At 45.2% G+C, this 27,910-nt stretch overlaps 1 protein-coding gene and 2 pseudogenes across 10 annotated transcripts in view, besides 6 other annotated features; all 3 read right to left on the reverse strand.

Moving 5' to 3' along the window:
- ZNF562 (zinc finger protein 562) overlaps nucleotides 1-2,234 on the reverse strand; it is a 33,294-nt gene extending 31,060 nt beyond the window's left edge. For 4 of the 7 annotated variants that reach the window (NM_001130032.2, NM_017656.4, NM_001130031.2 and 1 more), the window contains exon 1: nucleotides 2,149-2,234. The gene's annotated coding sequence lies outside the window, so the exon portion shown is untranslated. Of the gene's footprint in view, nucleotides 1-1,765 lie in introns of all 7 variants that reach the window. The other 3 variants (XM_047438996.1, XM_047438995.1, XM_017026898.3) reach the window with 1 other exon arrangement.
- Nucleotides 1,203-2,402: an enhancer, noted in NCBI's record as "CDK7 strongly-dependent group 2 enhancer chr19:9784745-9785944 (GRCh37/hg19 assembly coordinates)". NCBI's record gives its function as "activates an origin of replication core promoter dependent on BRD2, BRD4, P300/CBP, MED14 and CDK7 cofactors, with strong dependence on CDK7, by STARR-seq in HCT116 cells {active_cell/tissue: HCT116}" and the evidence as "EXISTENCE:reporter gene assay evidence [ECO:0000049][PMID:35650434]".
- Nucleotides 1,203-2,440: a biological region, named in NCBI's record as "CDK7 strongly-dependent group 2 enhancer GRCh37_chr19:9784745-9785944".
- Nucleotides 1,941-2,440: an enhancer, noted in NCBI's record as "OCT4-NANOG-H3K27ac-H3K4me1 hESC enhancer chr19:9785483-9785982 (GRCh37/hg19 assembly coordinates)". NCBI's record gives its function as "activates a minimal SCP1, AML or CMV promoter by ChIP-STARR-seq in naive and primed H9 embryonic stem cells {active_cell/tissue: H9 hESC(naive and primed)}" and the evidence as "EXISTENCE:reporter gene assay evidence [ECO:0000049][PMID:30033119]".
- Nucleotides 2,119-2,178: an enhancer, noted in NCBI's record as "active region_13933". NCBI's record gives its function as "activates an Ori minimal core promoter by ATAC-STARR-seq in GM12878 lymphoblastoid cells {active_cell/tissue: GM12878}" and the evidence as "EXISTENCE:reporter gene assay evidence [ECO:0000049][PMID:35858748]".
- Nucleotides 2,441-3,440: an enhancer, noted in NCBI's record as "NANOG-H3K27ac-H3K4me1 hESC enhancer chr19:9785983-9786982 (GRCh37/hg19 assembly coordinates)". NCBI's record gives its function as "activates a minimal SCP1, AML or CMV promoter by ChIP-STARR-seq in naive H9 embryonic stem cells {active_cell/tissue: H9 hESC(naive)}" and the evidence as "EXISTENCE:reporter gene assay evidence [ECO:0000049][PMID:30033119]".
- Nucleotides 7,561-8,143: an enhancer, noted in NCBI's record as "NANOG-H3K27ac hESC enhancer chr19:9791103-9791685 (GRCh37/hg19 assembly coordinates)". NCBI's record gives its function as "activates a minimal SCP1, AML or CMV promoter by ChIP-STARR-seq in primed H9 embryonic stem cells {active_cell/tissue: H9 hESC(primed)}" and the evidence as "EXISTENCE:reporter gene assay evidence [ECO:0000049][PMID:30033119]".
- On the reverse strand, nucleotides 10,373-11,230 carry RPS4XP22 (ribosomal protein S4X pseudogene 22; annotated as a pseudogene).
- On the reverse strand, nucleotides 15,994-27,910 carry ZNF812P (zinc finger protein 812, pseudogene; annotated as a pseudogene). Of its 3 annotated transcripts, NR_146444.1 has the most exons (4): nucleotides 27,522-27,910; nucleotides 23,228-23,382; nucleotides 21,913-22,001; nucleotides 15,994-18,403 (listed from the first exon to the last, which is right to left on the reverse strand). The product of NR_146444.1 is annotated as a zinc finger protein 812, pseudogene, transcript variant 1 (transcript). The 3 variants fall into 3 exon arrangements; NR_146445.1 differs by lacking the exon at nucleotides 21,913-22,001; NR_146446.1 differs by lacking the exons at nucleotides 21,913-22,001; nucleotides 23,228-23,382.

Genomic DNA, 27,910 nt, shown 5'->3' on the forward strand with positions numbered 1-27,910 from the left:
CCTCCCGGGTTAAAGTGATTCTCTTGCCTCAGCCTCCGGAGTAGCTGTGTAAGATACAATATATTTCTCTGAATTTCTCTTCAAAAGTTCAGCCTGTAAACTTCCTTGTTCTTTGTTCTCAAACTCAACTTTCCTGTTCTCCATGCCTCCTTGCCTCTAGTTACTGTAAACAACCTTCCCATCAGCTCTAATCAATAACTCACATCTGTTCCCTTGGCTACTCATTCTGCAGCTATTCCACTCTTTGAAACTGCACATCCCACCATCATGACTCACACATCCCCCTACCCTTCCTTATTTGGGGAAAATATTCACAGATAGCCAATAGGGTCAGTTTAGATTCTGCGGTCTGACCCTAACCCACGGGGGAGAGACACAGAAGTAGGGACCCAGCGTTAGAAATAAAAACCCCTTCCCCTCCCTTATCTGGTGTACTCTCGCCATCACTCCATCCACGAGACTCACCCTTCTATAGAAATAAATTGCGTTGCTGAGAAAACTTTTGCCTGAGTGCTGGTTTCACTTTGCAGCACCCAGCGTTTTATTTTTTTATCTCCAACAGCTGGGATTACAGGGGCCCACCACCAAGCCCGGCTAATTTTTGTATTTTTAGTAGAGACAGGGTTTTACCATGTTGGCTAGGCTAGTCTGGATCTCCTGACCTCAGGTGATCCGCCTGCCTCTGCCTCCCAAAGTGCTGTGATTACAGGTGTGAGCCAGTGCATCTGGCCTGGCTTTAAGTAGAAAGGCTTGCAGCTGGTAACAATTAGAAAAAAAATAACCTGCAAGAAAATAAAAATTAAAAACTAAAGGCTTAGTCTACACGCGTTCATATTTACATACAAAAACGGGCACACCCTAAACAACTATGTTTTTTCCATCTGAATGTAATGTGTCAAAAATAAGTGGCGGGTGGATCACTTGAGGTCAGGAGTTCGAGACCAGCCTGGCCAACATGGTGAAACCCCATCTCTACCAAAAATATAAAAAATTAGCCAGGTGTGGTGGTGCACGCCTGGAATCCCAGCTACTCGGGAGGCTGAGGCAGGTGAATCATGTTATAAAGTTTTCATGCCACAAAAAAAAAGCACTCAAATATAACATTTTCTTTTCTCAGCAAGGCAATTTACTTCTACAGAAGGGTGTGCCCTCACAGATGGAGCAATGGTGAGCACACACCAGGACAAGGGAGGGGAAGGGGTTCTTATTCTTGAGGAAAGTGGCCCCTGCCGCTTTGTCCTTCCCCGATGGCTAGGGTTAGACCCCACAGGCTAAACTAATTCCAATTGGCTAATTTAAAGAGAGTGACAGGGTGAGTGGTTTGTTGGGGAAAATGGTTATAACAGAGCAGGAAATTGGAATGAGTCAGGGTGGAAAATGAGTCAGGGTGGAGTAAGTAATCGAAATAAGTCTGGGTGGAGCAGGTAATCAGAATGAGTCAGGGTGGAGCAGGTGATCGAAAAAGGTTGCTTTACGGAGAAGTTTAAAAGTAGAAGGCAAAGAATTAAACATACTGACATATTGATTTTTTAAAAAGAAATTTAAAACTCATATCTAACAATCACTTGAACCCGGGAGGTGAAAGTTGCAGTGAGCCAACATCGTGCCACTGCACTCCAGCGTGGGCGACAGAGTAAGACTCCAAATCAAAAAAAAAAAAAAAGTAAAGGACATCAAGACAACGCCAGATTCTCAGATGAGACATTTTTTAGCAAATAAATGGAAGTCACAGCCCTCTTGAAACCATTTTTCCGCCGTTGCTCACCAGGAACATGCCGGAAGAGATAGGTTCCAGACGCGGGAGAATGCGGGGCCAGAGCCAACCTCACCAGAAGGGCAGAAATCCTTTTCCTTTCGGAAAGAAAAAAACTCCCAAAGGTTGCTTTCCAAGCTTTTCAAGAGAGGAGCACAGCGGATGAAAGTACTCAAGAAAACACCCGGCGGAGGCGGAACAAACACACTTCCCGACGCAGCCAGACGGACTGTGCGGCCTCTCGGAACTGGCCAGAGGCCGCACCAGGAGGACTGACAGCCCCTAGAAAAGCGAGTGAAACTAGGCGGATCTGAGAGGCTCCTGGGCGACCACGCCCAATCCTTCCTTTGCCGCCCCGCTGGTATGTCCCGGACCCCCAAGCAGGTAGAACTCACCACAGCGGGGTGGACTCCACCACAATAAAGGTTAAACGGCACTGACCATGCTGAGCCACAGCCGGTAAAGATGGCGGTGGCACACTGACGTCACTTCCGCTCCGAGCCTCCGGCCGGGTGGGGCTCCAGGGCTTGAGTTTCAGGCACGTAGGACAAAGAAATTCTAGTTTCCTCCTGGGTGGGTGCCGGACAGTGCCTGGGGTTGGCTCAGGGAGCGGGATGCAGAAACGGGTTCAGAGAAAAAGATGAGTTTAGAACCGGACCTCTGGACGGAACCGTGGGCGAGGGGTGGGGCCCATATTTGGGGGCGGTTTAGAGGTGGGACCCGGCCTAGCCCGCGTTTCAGGTGCCCAGACGGGTTGGAAAGGCGGGGATGGGGGATGGGACGCACCCCAGAGGATGCTCCTCCAAAGCTTATCCTGGGCGGGCTCAGTGGCTCACGCCTGTAATTCCAGCACTTTGGGAGGCTAAGGCAGGTGGATAGCTTGAGTCCAAGAGTTCCAGACCAGCCTGAGTGAAATAGCAAGACCGTGTGTCTTTTTTTTTCTTTTCTTTTTTTTTTTTTTTTTTTTTTTGAGACAGAGTTTCACTCTTGTTGCCCAGGCCTGTGCCCGGCTCGACCCTGTCTCTATTAAAATATATATATAAGGCCAAGCGCCAGTGGTTCACGCCTGTAATCCCTGCACTTTGGGAAGCCAAGGCGGGCGGATCACCTGAGGTCGGGAGTTTGACACCAGCCTGGCCAACATGCTGAAACCCCGTCTCTACTAAAAATACAAAAAAATAGCTGGGTGTGGTGGCAGGCGCTTGTAATCCCAGCTACTCAGGAGGCTGAGGCAGGAGAATCGCTTGAACCCGGGAGGCGGAGGTTGCGGTGAGCCGAGGTTGCGCCACTGCACTCCAATCTGGGGGACAAGAGCGTGACTTCATCTCAAAAAGAAAAAATATATATATATGTGTGTGTGTGTGTGTGTGTGTGTGTGTGTGTGTGTGTGTCAAGCTTTTTTGTATGCCGCTCCTCATGTTCCTGGAGCCTTTCCATGATTCTTCCATATTAAACCTGCCAGTGATAGATGGCATGGTCTGTCTCTTCCATTCAGTCATTCTTTCTGTAGGCCTTTATTTTTTCTTTTTCTTTTTCTTTTTTTTTTTTTTTTGAGACGGAGTCTCTCTCTGTCCCCCAGGCTGGAGTGCAGTGGTGCAATCTCGGCTCACTGCAAGCTCCGCCTCCTGGGTTCACACCATTCTCCTGCCTAGCCTCCTAAGTAGCTGGGACTACAGGCGCCCGCGACCACAACCAGCTAATTTTTTTGTATTCTTAGTAGAGACGGGGTTTCACGGTGTTAGCCAAGATGATCCCCATCTCCTGACCTCATGATCCACCCGCCTCGGCCTCCCAAAGTGCTGGGATTACAGGCGTGAGCCACCGCGCCCAGCCTATTTTTTCATTCTTTATTTTATAGAACCTGCTGTTTCCATTGCGTTTTCTTTTTACTTTTTTTTTTTTTTTTTTTTTTTTTTGAGACTGGAGTCTCACTCTGTTGCCCGGGCTGGAGTGCAGTGGTGCAATCTCAGCTCACTGCAACCTCCGTCTCCTGGGTGCAAGTGATTCTCCTGCTTCAGCCTCCTGAGTAGCTGGGATTACAGGTGGCTGCCACTATGCCCAGCTATTTTTTCTATTTTCAGTACAGAGGGCATTTCACCATGTTGGCCAGGCTGGTCTCAAACTCCTGACCTCGTGATTTGCCCATCTCAGCCTTGCAGAATGCTGGGATTATAGGTGAAGGGGGCCAGCCCCTCCACACCTGTGGGTATTTCTCATCAGGTGGGATGAGAGACTGAGAAAAGAAATAAGACACAGAGACAAAGTATAGAGAAAGAACAGTGGGCCCAGGGGACCGGCGCTCAGCGTCCAGAGGACCCACACTGGCACCAGTCTCTGAGTTCCTTCAGTATTTATTGATTACTATTTTCACTATCTCAGCAAGGGGAATGCAGCAGGAGAACAGGGTGATAGTGGGGAGAAGGTCAGCAAGAAAACATATGAGCAAAGAATCTGTGTCACAGATAAGTTCAAGGGAAGGTACTATGCCTGGATGTGCACGTAGGCCAGATTTATGCTTCTCTCCACCCAAACATCTCAGTGTAGTAAAGAATAGCAGAGCAGCATTGCCACCAGCATGTCTCACCTCCAGCCACAGGGCAGTGTTCTCCTGTCTCAGAAGAGAACAATGTACATTCGGGATTTATACCAAGACATTCCGTTCCCAGGGGCATTCAGGAGACAGAGGCCTTCCTCTTTTACTAATGCTCCTCAGCACAGACCCTTCATGGGTGTCAGGCTGGGGGACGGTCAGGTCTTTCCCATCCCATGAGGCCATATCTCAGGCTGTCTCAGTGGGGAGAAACTTTGGACAATACCCAGCTTTCCTGGGCAGAGGTCCCTGCTGCTTTCTGCAGTGCATCGTGCCCCTGGTTAATTGAGAATGGAGAATGGTGATGACTTTCATCCAGCATACTGCCTGTAAACATATTGTTAAGAAGGCACATCCTGCACAGCCCTAGATCCCTTAAACCTTGATTCCATACAACACGTTTTGTGAGCACAAGGTTGGGGCTAAAGTTACAGATTAACAGCGTCTCAAGGCAAAACAATTGTTTAGGGTACAGATCAAAATGGAGTTTCTTATGTCTTCCTTTTCTACATAGACAAAGTAACAGTCTGATCTCTTTCTTTTCCCTACAATAGGCATGAGCAACCACGCACAGCCACATTTTCAATATAATAATACTTTCTATAAATCTTGATTTTTTTTTTCTTCACCAAGTATGTATTTCTGGCTGGGCACGTTGCCTCATGCCTGTAATCTCAGCACACTTTGAGAGGCCAATATGGGAGGATCGTTTGAGGCCAGGAGTTGGAGACAAGCCTGGGCAACACAGCAAGACCCTGTCTCCTTAAAAAACAATAAAATTTTTAAAAAATTCCTTTTTTCTTTTATTTTTTGCGATGGAGTCTCGCTCTGTTGCCCAGGCTGGAGTGCATTGGCACAATCTTGGCTCACTGCAACCTCTGCTCCCTGGTTCAAGCGATTCTTCTGTCTCAGCCTCCCAAGTACCTGGGACTACAGGCCTGCGCCACCATGTCCAGCTAATTTTTGTATTTTTAGTAGAGACGTTTCACCATATTGGCTTGGCTGGTCTTGAACTCCTGACCTCATGATCCACCCACTTTGGCCTTCCAACGTGCTGGGATTACAGGTGTGAGCCACTAAGCCTGACCAAAAATATGTATTTCTATTGTTATTTTTCTGATCTTACCACATGGGCCAGGACCGCATTTCCTATGTTGTAAAATAGCAGTAATACCAGACATTCTCCCCAAGTTTATTCAGAAATGTAACATAATCCCAATAAAAACACCAAAATTTTTTCTGGAGTTAGGTACATTGATGCTAAAAGTTTATATGGAAAAAGAAAATCTGATAATAAGCAAGAAAACAAAAACAAGGCCGGGCACTGTGGCTCATGCCTGTTATCCCAGCACTTTGGGAGGCTGAGACAGGCAGATCACAAGGTCAGGAGATCAAGACCATCCTGGCCAACATGGTGAAACCGTGTCTCTACTAAAAATGCAAAAATTAGCTGGGCATGGTGGCACGTGCTTGTAGTCCCAACTACTTGGGAGGCTGAGGCAGGAGAATTGCTTGAACACGGGAGGCGGAGGTTGCAGTGAGCTGAGATCGCACCATTGCACCCCAGCCTGGGACAGAGGGAGACTGTGTCAAAAAAAAAAAAAGGAAAACAAAAACAAAAGCAATGATGAGCAGCAGATATTAAAACATACTATTGACAATTTTCACGCAAGACAAAGAATTATTTTAAAATAAAAATAAGAAAACATTCTATAAAGCCTCTATAATTAAAACTATGTGGTACTAGTGCATGAAGCAGAAACAGACTAATAAAATATCTATAAATAGACCCAAGAACATGTAGAAATTTGGTTCATAAATGTGGTATTTTGCTGGGCGTGGTGGCTCATGCCTGTAATCCTAGCACTTTGGTAGGTCAAGGCAGGAGGATCACTTGAGTTCAGGAGTTGGAAACCAGCCTGGCCAACATGGTGAAACTCCGTCTCTACTAAAAATACAAAAAATAGGCTCGGCTGGTGGCTCACGCCTGTAATCCCAGTACTTTGAGAGGCCGAGGTGGGTGAATCACCTGAGGTCGGGAGTTCAAGACCAGCCTAACCAACATGGAGAAACCCCCATCTCTACTAAAAATACAAAAATAGCTGGGTGTCCTCCCTCTCCCTCTCCCTCTCCCCACGGTCTCCCTCTCCCGCTCTTTCCATGGTCTCCCTCTGATGCCGAGCCGAAGCTGGACTGTACTGCTGCTATCTCGGCTCACTGCAACCTCCCTGCCTGATTCTCCTGCCTCAGCCTGCCGAGTGCCTGTGATTGCAGGCGCGCGCCGCCACGCCTGACTGGTTTTCATATTTTTTTGGTGGAGACGGGGTTTCGCTGTGTTGGCCAGGCTGGTCTCCAGCTCCTAACCGTGAGTGATCCGCCAGCCTCGGCCTCCCGAGGTGCCGGGATTGCAGACGGAGCCTCGTTCACTCAGTGCTCAATGGTGCCCAGGCTGGAGTGCAGTGGCGTGATCTCAGCTCGCTACAACCTCCACCTCCCAGCAGCCTGCCTTGGCCTCCCAAAGTGCCGAGAGTGCAGCCTCTGCCCGGCCGCCACCCCGTCTGGGAAGTGAGGAGCGTCTTTGCCTGGCCGCCCATCATCTGGGATGTGAGGAGCCCCTCTGCCTGGCTGCCCAGTCTGGAAAGTGAGGAGCATCTCTGCCCGGCCGCCATCCCATCTAGGAAGTGAGGAGCGCCTCTTCCTGGCCGCCATCCCATCTAGGAAGTGAGGAGCATCTCTGCCCGGCCGCCCATCGTCTGAGATGTGGGGAGCGCCTCTGCCCCGCCGCCCCATCTGGAATGTGAGGAGCGCCTCTGCCCAGCCGCGACCCCGTCTGGGAGGTGAGGAGCGTTTCTGCCCGGCCGCCCCATCTGAGAAGTGAGGAGACCCTCTGCCTGGCAACCGCCCCGTCTGAGAAGTGAGGAGCCCCTCCGCCCGGCAGCCGCCCCGTCTGAGAAGTGAGGAAACCCTCCGCCCGGCAGCCACCCCGTCTGGGAAGTGAGGAGCATCTCCACCCGGCAGCCACCCCGTCCGGGAGGGAGGTGGGGGTGTCAGCGCCCCCCGCCCGGCCAGCCGCCCCGTCCGGGAGGGAGGTGGGGGGGTCAGCCCCCCACCCGGCCAGCCGCCCCATCCGGGAGGTGAGGGGAGCCTCTGCCCGGCCGCCCCTTCTGGGAAGTGAGGAGCCCCTCTGCCCGGCCACCACCCCGTCTGGGAGGTGTACCCAACAGCTCATTGAGAACGGGCCATGATGACAATGGCGGTTTTGTGGAATAGAAAGGGGGGAAAGGTGGGGAAAAGATTGAGAAATCGGATGGTTGCCGTGCCTGTGTAGAAAGAAGTAGACATGTGAGACTTTTCATTTTGTTCTGTACTAAGAAAAATTCTTCTGCCTTGGGATCCTGTTGATCTGTGACCTTACCCCCAACCCTGTGCTCTCTGAAACATGTGCTATGTCCACTCAGGGTTAAATGGATTAAGGGCGGTGCAAGATATGCTTTGTTAAACAGATGCTTGAAGGCAGCATGCTCGTTAAGAGTCATCACCACTCCCTAATCTCAAGTACCCAGGGACACAAACACTGCGGAAGGCCGCAGGGTCCTCTGCCTAGGAAAACCAGAGACCTTTGTTCACTTGTTTATCTGCTGACCTTCCCTCTACTATTGTCCTATGACCCTGCCAAATCCCCCTCTGCGAGAAACACCCAAGAATGATCAATTAAAAAAAAAAAATAGCCAGGTGTGGTGGCAGGTGCCTGTAATCCCAGCTACTCGGGAGGCTGAGGCAGGAGAATCGCTTCAACCCAGGAAGCAGAGGTTGCAGTGAGCCGAGATCGTGCCAATGCACTCTAGCTTGGGCAATAAAAGCAAAACTCCATGTCAAAAAAAAAAAAAAAGTGGTGTTTCAGATCGATAGGGAAAAAATGCCATTTGTAATGGAAAGTCTAAGACAGTTGGTTAGCTATCAGAGAAAAGATGAAATTAAATCTATACTTCATATCATATACAATATACTCCAAATGGACTAGTAATCTAAGTGTGAAAAATAAAACCATACACGCATGTAAGGTGTTCAAGTGATTTCTTGGCTGAGTAAGGAAAAAGATGTAACTACAAGGCGGCAATAGCATACAAGCTTCATTTGGGATGTGCTTTCACAGGTTAGCAGTTGCGGAGGTAGGAAACAGCAAGAGAGTATCCACAGGCTTCTACCTGTGGGTCACTTCTCAGAAAGCGTGGAAAGGAAGAGAGACTCCCAGAGGAGAAAGGGAATCAAAGAGGGGGCTTATAAATAACTAAATGATGATACTCACCAAACTGACAGCATATCTTCCAGTTAAAAAGCTCTGAAGGGCCGGGCAAGAAGGCTCATGCCTATAATCCCAGCACTTTGGGAGGCCAGTGGGGCGGATCACGAGGACAGGTGTTCAAGACCAGCCTGACCAACATGGTGAAACCCCATCTCTACTAAAAATACAAAAATTAGCCGGGCGTGGTGGCGTGCACCTGTAATCCCAGCTACTCAGGAGGCTGAGGCAGGAGAAACACTCGAAGCCGGGAGGTGGAAGTTGCAGTGAGCCGAGATCTTGCCACTGCACTCCAGTCTGGACAACAGAGTGAGACTCCATCTCAAAAGAAAAAAAAAAAAAAAGGTTCTGCAGGACAGCAGGGGGATGGGATTTTCATAGCCTCTGGAGTTATCTTATCTATGGCTATCAGATATTGCACATAATTTCAGAGAATACAAAGAAGGCACACTCGAGATGGCTAAAAATAGGCTTGTTCATGCTATGTTTCAAACAATCAAGTGTGTTAAAATTGCAGTTTGGCAGGGATTGGCTATTGTGAATACTAGTGAGATAAACATTGGTGTACAAATATTTCTTTGAGCACCTGCTCTCAACACTTTTGGATATATATGCCAAAGTGGAATGTCTGGATCATATGGTAATTCTGTTTAATCTTGTTTGTTTGTTTGAGATAGGGTCTCACTCTGTTGTCTAGGCTGGAATGCAGTGACATGATCATGGATTACTGCAGTCCTCAACCTACTGAGCTCAGGTAATCATCCCACCTTAGCCTCTCGAGTAGCAGGGATTACAAGTGCATGCCACCACCATGCCTGGCTGAATTAAAAAATCTTTTTTGTAAAAATGAAATCTCACAATATGCCCAGGCTGGTCTTGAACTCTTAGTCTCAAGAAATCCCTCACCCTGAGCCTCCCAAAGTGCTGGGATTACAGGTGTGAGCCATCACATCCAGCATGGTTTTGATTTTCATTTTCATGATGTTTAGTGATGTTAAGCATCTTTTCATGAGCATCTTTTCCTGTGTTTATTGGCCATCTGTGTATCTTCTTTGGTGATATTATTCAAGTCCTTTTTCTGTATTTGAATTGGGTTTTGTTGTTGTTACTCTCGGGTTCTAGAAATTTTAAAAATAAACTCCAGATATTTGTCCCCAGTCGGATACAGGACTTGAAAATATTTTCTCCCATTTGTAGATTGTCTTTTCATTCTCTTGTTATTATGCTTTGATGCAAAAAATTTGTATTATTGATTAGGTTCAACTCATAATTTTTCTTGTGTTGCCTGTGTGGTTGATGACATAACTAAGAAGTCATTTCCAATTCCAATATCATGAAGCTTTCTCACCTATGTTTTCTTCTAATAGGTTTTCAGCTCTAGCTCTTACACTACACTTAGGTTTTTGATCCATTTTTTAAAAATCATGCCACATTATTATTATTATTAAGATGGAGGCTTGCTGTCTCCCAGGCTGGAGTGCAGTGGTGCGATCTCAGCTCACTGCAACCTCTACCTCCCAGGTTCAAGTGATTCTCCTGCCATTGCTTCCTGAGTAGCTGGGATTACAGGTGCATGCCACCATGCCCGGCTACTTTTTGTATTTCTTTTTAGTAAAGACAGGGCTTCACCATGTTGGTCAAGCTGATCTCGAACACCTGACCTCGTGATCCACCCACCTCGGCCTTCCAAAGTGCTGGGATTAGAGGCGTGAGCCACTGTGCCCGGCCATGCCACATTATTTTTAATTATGTACAAAGATCTAAAATGTCACTCAGGGACCATTTCATCCACCACTCTGTTTGGCCACCAGTCTTTTGTCTGTCTCTTCTGCAATAGTGAGGCGGATACCCTTTCCTCGGGGAAGAGAAATCCATGGTCTGTTGCCCTTGCCAATAACAAAAATGTTGGAAAATCTAGTGGCAAATCTGTTGCCTTTGGCATCCTTCACGTAAACCACTTTGAAAGATCGAGGGTGCCGCTCTCTGTTGATCACACCAATTCTTCCCAGGTTAGCACTTCCAGTCACCATACACAGGTTCCAGTGTCAATCTTGATGAAATCAGTAATCTTGCCAGTCTCTAAATCAATCTGAATGGTATCATTCACCTTGATAAGGGGATCAGGGTAGCAGATGGCGTGAGTATCAAGAGTCACCAGATGAGGGATTCCTTTTGTGCCCACAAAGATTTTTCTCAGTTTGCATAACATGTACTTGGCCTCCTCAGGTGTAATACGTTGTACAGCAAAGTGACCCTTGGTGTCACAGGTCAGTTGGGAATTCTCTCCCATCTTGTCAGTGTTGATGACATCCATTAATCCAGCAGGGTAGGTTATATCAGTTCGGACCTTGCCATCGATCTTAACCGCTGTGGGAAAATCTTTACTTCAACTCCTGTCAGGGCATACTTAAGTCTCTTCCTTAGGAAAATGATGAGGGGTAAACACTCTCTCAACTTGTGGGGACTGGTGGATGGATGAGGAGAAACACACCAGTCAATTTATCCAACATTCAATACTTTGGAGCTGCTATCCCCTTCAGATGCTTCTTGGGACCACGAGCCATGGCTGTGTTAGGCAAGGAAAGAGTTAATGATTTTTCATCTTTTTTTTTTTTTTTTTTTGAGACGGAGTTTCGCTCTTGTTGCCCAGGCTGGAGTGCAATGGCGTGATCCCAGCTCACTGCAACCTCTGCCTCCCCGGTTCAAGCAATTCTTCTGCCTCAGCCTCCCAAGTAGCTGAGATTACAGGTGCCCACCACCACACCCGGCTAATTTTTGTATTTTTAGTAGAGGCGGGGTCTCACCGTATTGGCCAGGCTGGTCTCAAACTCCTGACCTTGTGATTCCCCTGCCTCAGTCTCTCAAAGTGCTGGGATTACAGGTGTGAACCACCGTGCCTGGCCTTGATCCATTTTAAGTTCATTTTATATATGGTATAAGGTTAGGGTCTAACTCCCTTCTTATGCATGTCTATATCCAGTTTTTCTGCTAACACTTCTCCCCCACCTCCCACCACAAGCTTTATTGATACCTCATTGACAAAGAAAAACTGTATATACTTAAAGTGTGCAATGTGATGTTTAGTATAAACATTGTGAAATGATTACCACTACCATACTAATTTATGTATCCATCACTTCACAGTCACCTTTTTTACTGTGTCGAGAACACTTAAAATCTGCTGTCTTAGTAAACTCCAAGTATACAATACAGTTTTTTGTTTTTTGTTCTTTTATTTTTTTTGAGTCGGAGTCTTTCTCTCTCACCAGGCTGGAGTGCAGTGGTGTGATCTTGGTTTACTGCAACTTCTGCCTCCCAGATTCAAGCGATTCTCCTTCCTCAGCCTCCCAAGTAGCTGTGATTACAGGTGCACACCACCATGCTGGGCTAATTTTTTGTATTTTTAGTAGAGACGGGGTTTCACCATGTTGGCCAGGAAGGTCTTGATCTCTTGACCTCTTGATCCCCCCACCTCTGCTTCCCAAAGTGCTGGGATTACAGGCGTGAGCCACCACACCCAGCTGGACAATACAGTATTGTTAACTAAAATCTCCATGCTGTACATTAAATTCCTGAATTTCTTCATCTTGTAATTGAAAGTTTATACCCTTTGACTAATGTCTCTCCAGTCTCTCCCCATTCTCCCAGTCCCTGGCAACCAAAATTCTCCACTTTTTTTTTTCTTCAGATGGAGTATCACTCTGTGCCCAGGCTGGAGTGCAGTGGCAGGATCTTGGCTCACTGCAGCCTCCGCCTCCTGGCTTCAAAGGATTCTTGTGCCTCAGCCTCCTGAGTACCTGGGATTACAGGCGCCCACGACCACGCCCGGCTAATTTTTGTATTTTTAGAAGAGATGGAGCTTTACCATGTTGGCCAGGCTGGTCTCGAACTCCTGACCTCGTGATCCACCTACCTCAGCCTCCCAAAGTGCTGGGATTACAGGCGTGAGCCACCGCGCCCAGCCAGCATTCTCCTCTTTGCTTCTGTGAGTCAAGGACTATGTGGCTATGTTACAGCCCACATATATGTGAGATTATACAAGATTTCCTTCTCTTTTTAAGGCTAAATAATATTCACATATATAATCACATTTTCTTCATTTCTAAATGTCCAGGAACATTTAGGTTGTTTCCATACTTGTCTATTATGAAGAAGGCTGCAATGAACGTGGGAATGCAGATATCTCTTCAAGATATTCACGTCATTTCCTATGGAAATATACACAGTAGTGGGATTCCTGGATCATGATGGTATTGTTAATGGAAAGGCGTCTGGATCCAGACCCCAAGAGAGGGTTCTTGGATCTTACACAAGAAAGAATTTGGGGAGTTCATAAAGTGAAAGCAAGTTTATTAGAGAAGTAAAGAAACAAAAGAATGGCTACTCCATAGGCAGAGCAGTGGTATGCACTGCTCTATTGAGTATACTTATGGTTATTTATTGATTATATGCTAAATAAGGGGTGGGTTGTCAATAAGTTTTTCAGGAAAGGGGCAGAGATTTTCTGGAACCTAGCATCCCTCTTTTTTTTTTTTTTTTTGAGACGGAGTCTCGCTCTGTCGCCCAGGCTGGAGTGCAGTGGCGCGATCTCTGCTCACTGCAAGCTCCGCCTCCTGGATTCACGCCATTCTCCTGCCTCAGCCTCGTGAGTAGCTGGAACTACAGGTGCCGGCCACCACACCCAGCTAATTTTTTGTATTTTTAGTGGAGACGGGGTTTCACCGTGTTAGCCTGGATGGTCTCGATCTCCTGACCTTGTGATCCATCTGCCTTGGCCTCCCACAGTGCTGGGATTACAGGCGTGAGTCACCGCGCCCGGCCTACATCCCTCCCTTTTTAGACTATATAGGTAAACTTCCAAACATGGCCATGACATTTGTAAAAAGTCATGGAGCTGGCGGAAGTGACTTTTTAGCATGCTACTGCATTATAATTAACCTATAATGAGCAGTGAGGATGACCAGAGGTCACTTTTGTCACCATCTTGGATTTGGTGGGATTTGGCTGGGTTCTTTACCGCATCTTGTTTTATCAGCAAGCTCTTTATGACCTGTATCTTATGCCGACCTCCTATCTCTTCCTGCGACTAAGAATGCCTAACCTCCTGGAAATGCAGCCCAGCAAGAAAAAAAGAAAAAAGACTGCCTTTTCTCCATTGAAGGTTCTTGGCACCATGGTCAAAAGCCATTTGATTATATCTGTGAAGGTTTATTTCTGGTCTCTTTATGCTATAACAATGGTCTCCATGTCTAGTTATGCCTATACCACATTGTTTTGATTACTATAGCTTTGTAGTACCATTTTTTCTGCTTTTTTTCTTGAGACAGGTTCTTGCTCTGTTGTCCAGGCTGGAGTGCAATGGTGTGATCACAGCTCACTGCAGGGTCGACTTCCTGGGCTCAAGAGATCCCTCCTATCTCAGCTCCTGAGTAGCTGGGACTACAGGCATGCACCACCATGCCAAGCTATTTTTTATTTTTATTTTTTGTAGAGATGAAGTCTCCTTAAGTTCCCCAAGCTGGTCTCAAACTCCCGGGCTCAAGCAGTTTTCCTGACTCAGCCTCCTGAATTGTTGGTATTACAGGCTAGTAACTTTTGACATCACAAAGTCTGAATTTTCCAACAATCCTTTTTTTTTTTTTTTTTTTTTTTTGAGACTAAGTCTCGCTCTGTTGCCCAGACTGGAGGGCAATAGCATGATCTCAGCTCACCACTGGCTAATTTTTGTGTTTTTAGTAGAGACAGGGTTTCACCATATTGGCCAGGCTGGTCTCGAACTTCTGACGTCAAATGATCTGCCTGCCTTAGCTTCCCAGAGTGCTGGGATTACAGGCTTGAGCCACCTTGCCCTACCCAACAAACTTCTTTTTCAAGATTGCTTTCACTGTGTGGACTCCAGTGAGATTCCATATGTGTGTGGTCTTTTGTAACCCAAACTTCAGCAGTGACTTAACATGATTTTTGCCACATTCTGCTAGTCACAGAGACGAAGCCTGCTACAATGTGAGAGGACTACACAAAGGTATGAGTATTGAGAAGCAGAGATTATTGGGGGACAATTTGGAGGCTGGATACTACAGAGAAGGAATTGGCAATACCCAAAAACACTACCTGTGCAATCTGGAAACCGTTTTCTTTTTTTTTTTTTTTTAATTTTGAGGCAGAGTATCCCTCTGTTGCCCAGGCTGGAGTGCAGTGGCACGATCTCAACTCACTGCAACCTCCATTTCCTGGGTTCAAGTGATTCTTGTGCCTATCTCCCTAGTAACTGGGACTACAGGAATACACCACCACACTTGGCTAATTTTTTTTAATTTTTAGTAAAGACAGGGTTTGGCCATGTTGCCCAGCCTGGTCTCAAACTTCTGAGCTCAGGCAATCCACCCCCTTGCCCTCCCAAAGTGTTGTGATTACAAGTGTGAGCCACCGTGCACGGACTTTTTCTTTTCCCTTTTTTTTTTTTTTTTTTTTTGAGAGAGTTTTGCTGTGTCCCCCAGGCTGGAATGTGCAGTGGTGCAATCTGGGCTACCTGCAGCCTCCACCTCCCAGGTTCACGCGATGCTCCCACCTCAACCTCCAGAGTAGCTGGGGACTACAGGCATGAGCCACCACACCCAGCTAATTTTTGTATATTTTTTAGAGATGGGCTCACCATTTTACTCAGGCTGGTCTCGAACTAAGGAGCTCAAAGTGCTGGGGTTACAGGCATGGGCAACTGTGCCTGGCCTTGCAATCCTACTTTTTTTTTTTTTTTGAGATGGAGTTTCACTGTTGTTGCCCAGGCTGGAGTGCAATGGCATGATCTTGGCTCATCCCAACCTCCACTTCCTGGGTTCAAGTGATTCTCCTGCCTCAGCCTCCTGAGTAGCTGGGATTACAGGTGTGTCACCACACCCTGCTAATTTTTTGTATTTTTAGTAGAGACGGGGTTTCACCATGTTGGTCATGCTGTTCTCGAACCCCTGACCTCAAGTGATCTACCCACCTCGGCCTCCCAAAGTATTGGGATTACAGGCATGAGCCACCGTGCCCAGCCACAATGCTACTTTTAAGAATTTTTTTTTATACTAAGTCCAGGATTCAGTCTAAACTTCTAAGAATTTGCCTTAAAGGTAAACCTTTAACAATTCAAATAAGTTCAACAGTATTAATTGCAGCACTGTTTGTAATTTCAATTTGAATGCCTAAATGCTCTCAAGTATTAGAGTATCTGAATATATGGTACATCAACCAGTGGAGTATCCTGCAGCTCTAGAAATGAATGAAGATCTCTATGAACTCACATTAAGTGATTTCCAAGATACATGGTTAACTAAAAACACAAACTCCATCTCAAAAAATAAAATTTTGTGTTTTTAACCTCATTTATTTAAAATTAAATGAATTTGTAAGCCATTTGTTCTGTGGTATTCTGTTATGGTTGCCTGAGCTGATTAAGGCAGATTTTGGCACTGAGAAGTGAGGCACTGGAATTAAAAACAAACAAACAAATAAAAAAACTAAAAATGTGAAGCAGCTTTGAAACTGACAAATGAGTAGAGGCTGGAAAAATTCTGATTTGCAAGCTGGAAATAATAGTAAGGGTGATTCTGGTGAGGTGTCATTGGGGAATGAGGAACATGCTATTGGGAAATGAAGAAAAGACAACCCTTTATATGAAGTGGTGAAGAACTTAGCAAAACTGTATTCTAGCATTTTGTGGAAGGTAGAGCTTGAGAGAGATAAAACTGGGTATGTATCACTAAGATCTGTAATTAAAGTGTTAAAGGACACAGGAAGCTTCATTCTTCCTGACTGCTTATAGTAAAATGCAAAAGAGGAGACCTGAATTGCAGAAGAAATTGTTAAAGAAAAAGGAACCAGAACCTGGAGATTTGGAAAATTCTCAGCCTATCCATAATGCAAAAATTAGAAAACTTGTACTGAAGAGAATCCTGAAAGTGTGGCTGAACAATCATTTGACAAAGAGATCATGAGTGGGATTCATGGACTATATCAGCCATCTTAACAGACGTGAGCACAAAGACTGGATTATACTAGAAGAGACACTTCCACTTAGGTTGTGCCACCTAAAATGGACAGAGAAGACAGAACAGGTAAGGCTGTCACATATCATAGATTTTACAAGAAGGGGACACAGAAATAATCAGCTGTGAAAGTGCACTGGCAGTTAAGGATGGTTTCATACCTGCCATGCTCTGCAGGATCCGTGGGAACAGAAGAGACCCTTAGAGGAGCATCTTTTAACAACCCACCTCTGGGGCCTACATCATCTTGGCTTCTGGGAAATTTTGACATGAATGTGCCACACTGGCAGCTACTAACAGGGGCTGGGACCAATCTAGATGACTTATCTCATACAGAAATTCTTAATGCTATGATCTTAGAAACCTAATCACCAAGGTAAGGTAGCCTGCAGTACTGACCTCACCATCCATTACCCTTCTTCACAGATGCCCAGACTCAGGCAACCATGATGTTGTATTCAGAACCTGTAGGTTTAATTTCAGACCCTTGTGATGGCACCCAAGGCCAATTCATGAGCCATTACAACCTCCAAAAGGCATTTAGGACAAATCTGAATATCTTTAGTGTCACTGCCACTAATTAAAGATGGCAACCAATGAGCTAAATGGTAACATTCATACCCTTATATTCATAGGGTTCCTCCCCAGTGTGAATTCTTTCATGTCTACTTAGGTGTGAGGAAACAGCAAAAGCTTTCCCACATTCTTTACATATGAGGGCTTTCTCTCTGGTATGAGTTTGCAGGTGAACATTAAGGGGTGAGGAATATAGAAATGCTTTCCCACATATCTTGCATACAAAGGGCCTTTCTTCATGGTGAGTTTTCAAATGTTTACTACGATAGGAAGAAGTAATGAAGGTCTTCCCACATTCAACACATCCATAAGGCTTCTCTCCTGTGTGAATTATTTTATGTTGAGTAAGGGTTGAGGATCCATTGAAGGCTTTCCCACATTCCTTACACTGATAGTGTTTCTCTCCAGTGTGATTTCGTATGTGTATAGCAAGGCCCGTGTACTGAGTGAAGGCTTGGCCACATTCCTTACATTCATAGGGTTTTATTCCAGTGTGAGTTCTTACATGTTGAGTAAGGTGAGTTGACCTAGTGAAGGCTTTCCCACATTCCGTATATTTGTGTGGTTTTATTCCAGTGTGAATTTGAATGTGAACATTAAAGGATGAGGAATTTCTAAAGGATCTTCCACATTCTTTACATTCAAAGGACTTCTCTCCTTTATGAATTTTCACATGTGCAGAAAGTTGAGAAAAATTAGTGAAGGATTTCCCATGTTTCTTAGTCTTTTTAGATTTCTTTCCAGTATGAACTGTTACACACTGCTTTAGGTGTGAGGAATGAGTGATGGCTCTCCTACATTCCTGAAATTCACAGAATTTCTCTCCAATGTGGATTCCCATGTGATTATCAAGGCTTGCAAAATACTTAAAGCCTTTTCTACATTCCTTACATTTGTATGGTTGTCTTGCATTGAGAATTCCAAGATGTGCAGCAAGATCTGGAGTTAAGGTGAAGACTTTTCCACATGGATTAAATTTGGAAAGTTCCTGTCCAATAGAGGCTTCCTTGTGCACACTGAGGATGTCTTTTCCATAACAATTACCCTCAAAGATGTTCCCTCCATTCTGAGCTCTCATGTGTGTTTTAAGGCAAAACCATTCACTGAAGACCTCTCCACAATTCTCAGAGTTTCCATCCACTGTAGCTTCTTGTCTGCTGATGAAGGGATAAAGGATTTAAAATGTTTTCAGACATATTAAGAGATTTCACCCATCTGAACACAGAAACATTATTTTGGTGACAATTATCATTTTACTTTTTAATGTTTAATTTTTTTTTCATTTCCTACCCTCTTGATTTCTTCCAGATTGAATGATGGGATCTTTTGCTAGAATTTTATGCCACTGGCTCTAATTACTCAAAAAAAAAACAACTGTTTTTAATTGTTGGGGGTGGTTTGAGACAGGGTCTCACTCTGTCACCCAGGCTGGTACCATGGCAGAATCACAGCTCACTGCGGCCTTAATCTCCCAGGCTCAAGTCATCATCCTGCCTCAGTGCCCCAAGGAGCTTCGACTACAGTTGCATGGCAACACACCCAGCTAAATTTTTATTTTTTGTAGAGACAGGGTCTCCCTGTTGCCCAGGCTGGTCTTGAACTCCTAGACTCAAGTGGTTCTCCTGCCTCAGCTTCCCAAGCTGCTGGGATTACAGGCATCAGCCATTGTACCCAGCAAAATAGTGTAGATTTTCATGAAACTGTTCCAATCCTCAATGTCTAGTTACATATGTGGGAATATGTACTTGTCGGTATTTTGCAGTGACAAGTTATATAGGTATGGAACATCACAAAATTCATCACATTCAGACTATCTCTCCAGAGACTTTGCTCCCTCAATGGTGCAGGCTACTTCTCTAATTCTCTTAAGTATCTCTCATTTGTGCTGTTTCTTTTTCATTGCACACTCCACCTCCCAGGTTTAAGCAATTCTGCCTCAGCCTCCCAAGTAACTGGGATTACAGGTGCCCACCACCATGCCTGGCTAATTTTGTATTTTTAGTAGAGATAGAGGCTAGTCTCAAAGTGCTAACCTCAAGTGATCCACCCACCTTGGCATCCCAAAGTGCTGGGATTACAGACTCAGTTTATTTTCCTTCTTTCTTTCTTTCTTTTTTTTGTGAGATGAGGTCTCACTCCATCGCCCAGGCTGGAATGAAGTGGTGCAATCTTGGCTCGCTCAGTAACCTCCACCTCTGGGTTCAAGTGATTTTCCTGCCACAGCCTCCCAAGTAACTGGTATGACAGGTGCCCACCACTACACTTGGTTAATTTTGTATTTTTAGTACAGACGGAGTTTCACCATGTTGGCCAGGCTAGTTTTAAACCCCTGACCTCAAGTGACCACCTACCTCAACCTCCCATAGTGTTGGGATTACAGGCATGAGCCACCACATCCAGCCTCTTTTTAAAATCAGAGATGGGATCTTGCTATATTGTCTAGGCTGGTCTTAAACTACTGGACTTAAATGATCCTCCTACCTCAGCCTCCCTAGTAGCTGGGATTACAGAAGTAAGCCATAGTTCTGACCGTGCTGATTTCCTAGAATGGAATTCTCAATCTTTTCTGAGAGGAAACTAAGAAATATCACTCATCCTGCCATTTGTATCCCATTGAATATTGGATTCCTCAAAAAACCAAGCTGAAGTGATGACCATTTGGTTCTAGGTTGTATTTCCCATTCTGAAGTTAAGCAGAAAAAGAAATGTAAGGATTTATAGAAGAAATGTTTAAAACGATGAGTCATTTGTACTTGTTTTCTAATTAAACACAGTAATAAAAGATAGGCCAGAGAACTTTGAGGATTTTGATATGTCAAAAATTTGGCTATAAGGACGTGGGGTTTATTACACAATTGATGTGTTTAGATAGTTTATTACAAACTGCTTCTGTGAAAAATGAAACAATAGGGAAGAGGAAGAGAAGATTATCAGGAAAGGAAAGTAGGAAAGATTGGGATAAAGAGCATGTATCAAAATGATAAAGTTAACAAAAAAAAGAACAGGTAGTTTTGTTAGGTCATAGGAATGTTTGACTAGATGGAAAATAAAAGTCAGAGATATCTGAAATTCTGAGAAAAATAGCTTAAATCTTCTGAGGTAAAGTGGATCTTTAAAAATATTTTTTTTATTTTTTTGAGATGGAGTCTCACTCTGTCACCCAGGCTGGAGTGCAGTGATGCAGTCTTGGCTCACTGCAACCTCTGCCTCCCGGGTTCAAGTGATTCTACTGCCTCAGCCTCCCGAGTGCCTGGGACTACAGGGATGTGCCAATATACCCAGCAAATTTTCTGCATTTTTATTAGAGACGGGGTTTCACTGTGTTAGCCAGTCTGGTCTTGATTTCCTGACCTCATGATCTGCCCACCTTGGCATCCCAAAGTGCTGGGATTAAAGGCGTGAGCCACCAAGCCCGGCCTAGTCTTTATTTTTATGATTTTTTTTTTAGAGATGCGGTCTCACAATACTGTCCATGCTAATATCAAACTCCCACACTCAAGCACTTCTCCCACCTCAGCCTCCCAAGTATCTGGGACTACAGGTGCAGGGCACCATGCCAAGCAAAATGATGTTACTCTTACCCACAGAGGCCAGGTTCACATAGTTCTCCAACATCACATCTCTGTAGAGGCATTTCTCAGTTGTGTCCAGTAAAGCCCACTCCTCTGGGGTGAACTCCACAGCCACATCATCAAACGTCACTGAATCCTAAGTCATCACACACATGCCGGTTTGAGCCAATGAACACTGCCATGAATGTTCACTGGAGAATGAGGAAGGGGAAACTTATACTCACTTATATGTGGTTCTGAGCTCTCCCAAGATCTACTCCAGTGTTTAATGTCTCAGGAGCTCTTGTGTCTAAGCAATCAAGGTGAACCTACTAGAGGCATATGCCTTGAACAGCACTTTAAAAATTTTTTTAATTCTTTTTTTGTTTGATCTATTTTTAATTTTTAAATACTTTTATTTTTAAATTTTAAATTTTTATTTTGATGAGAACAGTACTTCCTAAGCATGAATTTTTACCTATCATCTATCTATCTATCTATCTATCTATCTATCTATCTATCTATCTATCTATCTATCTAATCTGTTTATTTATTTCTATATAAAGACAGGGTCCCACTGTGTCACACAGGCACAATCGCTGCTTACTGCACCTTCGATCTCCTGGGCTGAAGTTCCCCTCCCACCCCAGCCTCCTGAGTAGCTGGAATTACAGGCATGAGCCACTGCACACTGCTTACACTTTATCTCAGCACAACCAGTTTAGGAGCTCTTCCTGTCCCATTGGTGTCTATGCCGCACACTCCTCAGCACACTGCAGATACCTGATAAATGCTGATAAGTGAATAATTTGATAAAAGGACACTTTCATCAGCTTTATCATCTGTCACTGCACCCAGCAATGTAAGAAAGATGCAGTTGGCACCATGAAGGTCAAGCTTAAGTAGTAATTACTGAGCTACTGGACTGATTTTCAAGTTAACACTTTATGTATAGGAAACTTCATTCCCTGGGGAAATTCATCTGGGGACTCAGTCTTTGAGTAAGGCTTCATTTGCTCTAAGAAAACTCTGGAGATGAGTCTGTCTAGAAGGAAATATGTCTACCTATTGGATGTAAGCATGTCATTTTGTACAATGGCACATTTTCTTTTTACCTGATAAGAATTTGCCAGGTAGTCCTCCACCATCGTTCCTATCTTTGTCTTTTCTTCAAAAGGGCAGATTGGTTCCCTGGGAAAAAACCCTAGTGGAAAAGTAAGAAGGCATGAGAAGCCAAAGCTGCCCACAGTCTCATGCCCAGAAGTCATTCCATCCTAGCTTGAAATTCCCATATGCTCCTGCACACTCGAGAAAACTACACACACACAACACTTTCATGAAATGCCATAGTAGTCCTGTGTCACCTAGACTCAGATAAGCAGACATGGGCCAAACTGCCTGTTGGGTAAAGGGATATAGCTTCATTTTTCAAGGAAACTTACACCCTGAAAAATGTGACTATCTATCTACCCATAGTAGTAACACTCATGAAGCTTATGTAGCATTTCCTAAGACACACAAACCAGGGCTGAATTCTAAAACAGCATTCTGACTGGGCACAGAGGCTCATGCCTGTAATCCCAATATTTTGGGAGGCCAAGGTGGGCAAATCACTTGAGGTCAGGTGTTGAAGACCAGCCTGACCAACATGGCAAAACCTCGTCTCTACTAAAAAAATAAAAAATAAATAAAAAAATACAGGAGACTGAGGTAAAGAATTGCTTGAACCAGGGAAGCAGAGGTTGCAGTGAGTCAAGATTGTGCCACTGCACTACAGCCTGGGTAACAGAGGGAGGCTCCATTTAACAAACAAACAATATTAGCCAAGCCTGGTGATATGTGCTTGTGGTCCCATCTGCATGGGAGACTGAGGCAAGAGAATCACTTTAACCCAAAAGGTGGAGGTTGCAGTGAACTGAGATTGCACCACTGCACTCCAGCCTGGGTGAGAGAGCAAGATTCTGTCTACAATAAATAAATAAAACAAAACAAAACAAAACAAAATAGTATTCTACATCTTACTTCAATTCCTCCTAAAAGAACCAGTGGTGGCTCATGCCTGTAATCCCAACACTTTGGCAGGCCAAGGCAAGCAAATCACTTGTGGTCGGGAGTTCAAGTTCAGCCTGACAAACACTGAGAAACCCGTCTCTACTAAAAATACAAAATTAGCCTGTAATCCCAGCGACTCGGGAGGCTGAGGCAGGAGAATCGCTTGAACCCAGGAGGCAGAGGTTGCGGTGAGCCGAGATTGCACCATTGCACTCTAGCCTGGGCAACAAGAGTGAAACTCCATCTTGAAAAAACAACAGAACAAAACAAAAGAAAAAAACAGTGGCATGCCTGCTCAGGCCCAGCGCACTGGACTCTTATGTTGTGGAGGACGACCTAAATCAGAATCTCTGAAAAAGAGCATCAACAAGGACTTACCATGGGACAAATCAGTGACTGCCATTCTCTGAAGCTGATGGTCAGTTGTGCCTCAATGCTCTCTTCCTTGATGCCAAGATTGCCTCAGGGCAACTTATGAATCTAGGTGAATAGAGGCAATCTCCATTCCTCTTTGTACAGGGTTATTTGAAGTCCTGTTTGTATCAAGCATCAAACATCAGTCATCGAACATTATGCATGAGCTTTCTCGCTGCAGGTGACAAATGTGAAGGCCACCAAAAACTGTACACTCAGTATCGTCACTCAGTAATGATAGTATTAATAACAGCAACTGACATTTACTGAGGCCTAGTATGTCAGAAGTAGCTCTACTAGCTATATACATGCTCACTTAATTATCATAACCATCCTTCCCAATAGCTATCATTACCTCTATCTGTCTATCTATCTATGTATCTATGTATCTATGTATCTATGTATCTATGTATTTATGTATCTATCTATCCATCCATCCAGACAGGGTCTCACTCTGTTGCCCAGGTTGAAGTGCAATGGCACTAACACAGCCCTCTGTAGCCTAGACCTCCCAGGCTCAAGTGATCCTCCCACCTCAGTCTCCTGAATAGGTGGGCCCACAGGTGTGCATCACCACACCTTATTATCATTATTATTATCATTATTATTACTATTATTATTATGAGACAGAGTCTCACTCTCCCACCCAGGCTGGAGTGCAGTGGCACGATCTCGACTCTGTAACCTCTGCCTCCCAGGTTCAAGTGATTGTCAGGCCTCAGCCTCCTGAGTAGCTGGGATTACAGGTATGCACCATGCCTGGCTAATTTTTGTATTTTTAGTAGAGATGGTGTTTCGCCATATCAGCCAGGTTGGTCTCAAACTCCTGGCCTCAAGTGATTCTCCCACTTCAGCCCCCAAAGTGGCTAGGAATACAGGTGCACACCACTGTGTGGGGAAAAGAAATAGAGACCAGATTTTTACTGTGTCTATGTAGAAAAGGAAGACATAAGAAACTCCATTTTGATCTGTACTAAGAAATATTGTTTCTGCTTTGAGATGCTGTTAACCTGTAACTTTAGCCCTGACCCTGTGCTCACAGAAACATGTGCTGTAATGAATCAAAGTTTAATTGATTTAGGGCTGTGCAGGATGTGCCTTGTTAACAATATGTTTGCAGGCAGTATGCTTGGTAAAAGTCATCACCATTCTCCATTCTTGATTAACCAGGGACAAAATGCACTGCGGAAAGCCGCAAGGACCTCTGCCCATGAAAGCCTGAGTATTGTCCAAGGTTTCCCCCCACTGAAACAGCCTGAGATATGGCCTCATGGGAAAGGAAAGACCTTACCATCTCCCAGCCCAACACCCGTAAAGGGTGTTGCGGGAAGTCAAGGACCCCAAACGGAGGGACCGGCTGAAGCCATGACAGAAGAACGTGGATTGTGAAGATTTTATGGACATTTATTAGTTCCCCAAATTAATACTTTTGTAATTTCTTATGCCTGTCTTTACTGCAATCTCTAAACATAAATTGTAAAGATTTCATGGACACTTATCACTTCCCCAATCAATACCCTTGTGATTTCCTATGCCTGTCTTTACTTTAGTCTCTTAATCTTGTCAGTTGAGGAGGATGTATATCATTCCAGGACCCTGTAATAATCGCGTTAACTACAAAAATTCTACAGCATATGTGTTTGAGCAATATGAAATGTGGGCACGCTGAAAAAAGAACAGGATAAGAGCAATTGTTCAGGGAATAAGAGAGATAACCTTAAACTCTGACCGCTGGTGAGCCAGGCAGAACAGAGCCCTATTTCTCTTCTTTCAAAAGCAAATGGGAGAAATATCACTGAATTCCTTTTCTCAGCATGGAACATCCCTGAGAAAGAGAATGCACACCTAGGGGTAGGTCTCTGAACTGGCCCAAGCCCCCCCGGGGGCGTACCTGTCTCTTATGGTCGAGATTGCAGAGGTGAAATAAACTCCAGTCTCCCATAGCGCTCCCAGGCTTATTAGGAAGAGGAAATTCCCACCTAATAAATTTTGGTCAGACCGGTTGATCTCAAAACCTGTCTCCTGGTAAGATGTTATCAATGACAGTGGTGCCCGAAACTTCATTAGCAATTTTAATTTCACCTCGGTCCTGTGATCTCGCCCTGCCTCCACTTGCCTTGTGATATTCTATTACCCTGTTAAGTACTTGATGTCTGTCACCCACACCTATTCGCACACTCCCTCCCCTTTTGAAAATCCCTAATAAAAACTTGCTGGTTTTTGTGGCTTGTGGGGCATCACGGATCCTACCAACATGTGATGTCTCCCCCGGACACCCAGCTTTAAAATTTCTCTCTTTTGTACTCTGTCCCTTTATTTCTCAAGCCAGCCGACGCTTAGGAAAATAGAAAAGAACCTACGTGATTATCGGGGCAGGTCCCCCAATAAAGGGGTCTGTGCTGAGGAGTAGTGAAAGAGGGAGGCCTCTTTGCAGTTAAGAGGAAGGCTTCTGTCTCCTGCCAATCCCTGGGAATGGAATGTCTCGGTGTAAAGCTGACCATTCCCATTCATTCTATTCTGATAGGAGAAAACCACCCTGCAGCTGGAGGTGAGATATGCTGGCAGCAATACTGCTCTGTTACTCTTTGCTACACTGGGATGTCTGGGTAAAGAGAAACATAAATCTAGCCTATGTGCACATCCAGGCACAGTACCTTTCCTTGAACTTATTCATGATACAGATTCCTTTGCTCACATATTTCCCTGCTGACCTTCTCCCCACCTGTTGCCCTGCTACACTTCCCTCGCTAAGATAGTAAAAATAATAATCAATAAATACTGAGGGAACTCAGAGTCTGGCGCCGGTGCATGTCCTCCTTATGCTGAGCACCAATCCCCTGGGCCCACTGTTCTTTCTCTATACTTTGTCTCTGTGTGTTATTTCTTTTCTCAGTCTCTCGTCCCACCTGATGAGAAATACCCACGGGTGTGGAGGGGCTGGCCCCCTTCACCACTAGGTCTAATTTTTTGTATTTTTAGTAGAGACAAGGTTTCACCAGGTTGCCCAGGCTGGTCTCAAACCCCTGGGCTCAAACAATCCTCCTGCCTTGACCTCCCAAAGTGCTGGGATAATAAGCATGAGCCACCGCGCCTGGCTCATTACCTCTATTTAATACTGAAAAAATCCTACATTCAAATAACCCTAATAATTAGTCTGATATTTGTCCTTAGAGCCTGATCTCCTGTGGATGCTGTTACCCCCTAATATGACCAGGAGGCAGTCCAGACCTGCACAGAACACTTAAGTAGTCACCAGCCACGTGTGTTATTGCTAACTTCACTATGTACCTAAGATGACTGAAGAACAGAATTTAAAATATTCAAAAGATGGCCAGGCGCGGTGGCTCACACCTGTAATCCCTGCACTTTGGGAGGCTGAGGCAGGCAGATCACCTGAGGTCAGGAGCTCGAGACCAGCCTTGGCAAACATGGCAAAATGCCATCTCTATGGCAAAACGCCATCTCTATGGCAAAACCCTGTTTCACCATGTTGGCGAGGCTGGTCTCAAACTCCTGACCTCAGGTGATCCACCTGCCTTGGCCTCCCAAAGTGTTGGGATTACAGATGTGAGCCAGGGTGTCTGGCATGCCCTTCTTAAGTAGAAAGGCTTGTAGCTGGTAACAACTAGAAAACAAATAACGTCCAAGAAAATAAAAATTTAAAAAAACGAAAGGCCTACAGTCTACACGTGTTCTTATTTACATACAGAAATAGACACACCCTAAACAACTATGTTTTTTCCATCCAAATGTAATGTGTCAAAAATAAGCAAAGGACACCAAGGCAATGCCAGATTCTCAGATGAGACATTTTTTAGCAAATATATGGAAGTCAGAGCCCTCTTGAAACCAATTTAACACCGGTGCTCACCAAGAACACTCCGGAATCGCCAGGTTCCTGACGCGGGAGGATGCGGGGCCAGAGCCAACCTTACCAGAATGGCAGAAATCCTTTTCCTTTCGGAAAGAAAAAAATTCACCAAGGTTGCTTTAGAAGCTTTTGAAGAGGGGAGCACAGCGGATGAAAGCACTCCAGAAAACATCCCATGGACGCGGGATAAACACACTTCCTGACGCGGCTCCTGACGTGGACCGACTGAACCTGCAGCTGGGAACTGGCCACGCTGGGAGGACCAACAACCCCTGGAGAAGCTAGTGAAATGAGCAGGATCAGAGAGGCTCCTGGGCGAGCGCACCCAATCCTTCCTTTGGCATCCCCCGCCTGTCTCCAGGACCCCCAAGCAGGGGCGGAACTCACCACAGCCGGGGTCGACTCCACCAAGATAAAGGTGAAACAGCACTGACCGTGGGCAGCCAGCGCGGGAAAAGATAGTGGCGGCGGGCTGATGTCACTTCCGCTACGAGCTTCGGGAAGGACGGGGCTTCTGGGATCCAGTTTCAGCCACGTAGGACCAGGTTGTTAGAAATGCTTGTTCCCCGGTGCATAAAGAAATAGCACTTGAACATAAATTTAATTTCCTCAGTAAGCCCATTTTACTTTTGGCAGAACAGGTACACTAGCCAGCAGTTTTGCCACTAGAGTACACTAAACAAAGGAAACAGGGTCATTTATAACCTGACGTGTCCACCCTACTGCAGCGTCCGGTTTCCATTGGCTGGAATGGAACATCACATTCTGTATTTGAC

The sequence above is a fragment of the Homo sapiens genome, chromosome 19, assembly GCF_000001405.40.
Source record: "Homo sapiens chromosome 19, GRCh38.p14 Primary Assembly".
NCBI classification, from domain to species: domain Eukaryota; kingdom Metazoa; phylum Chordata; class Mammalia; order Primates; family Hominidae; genus Homo; species Homo sapiens.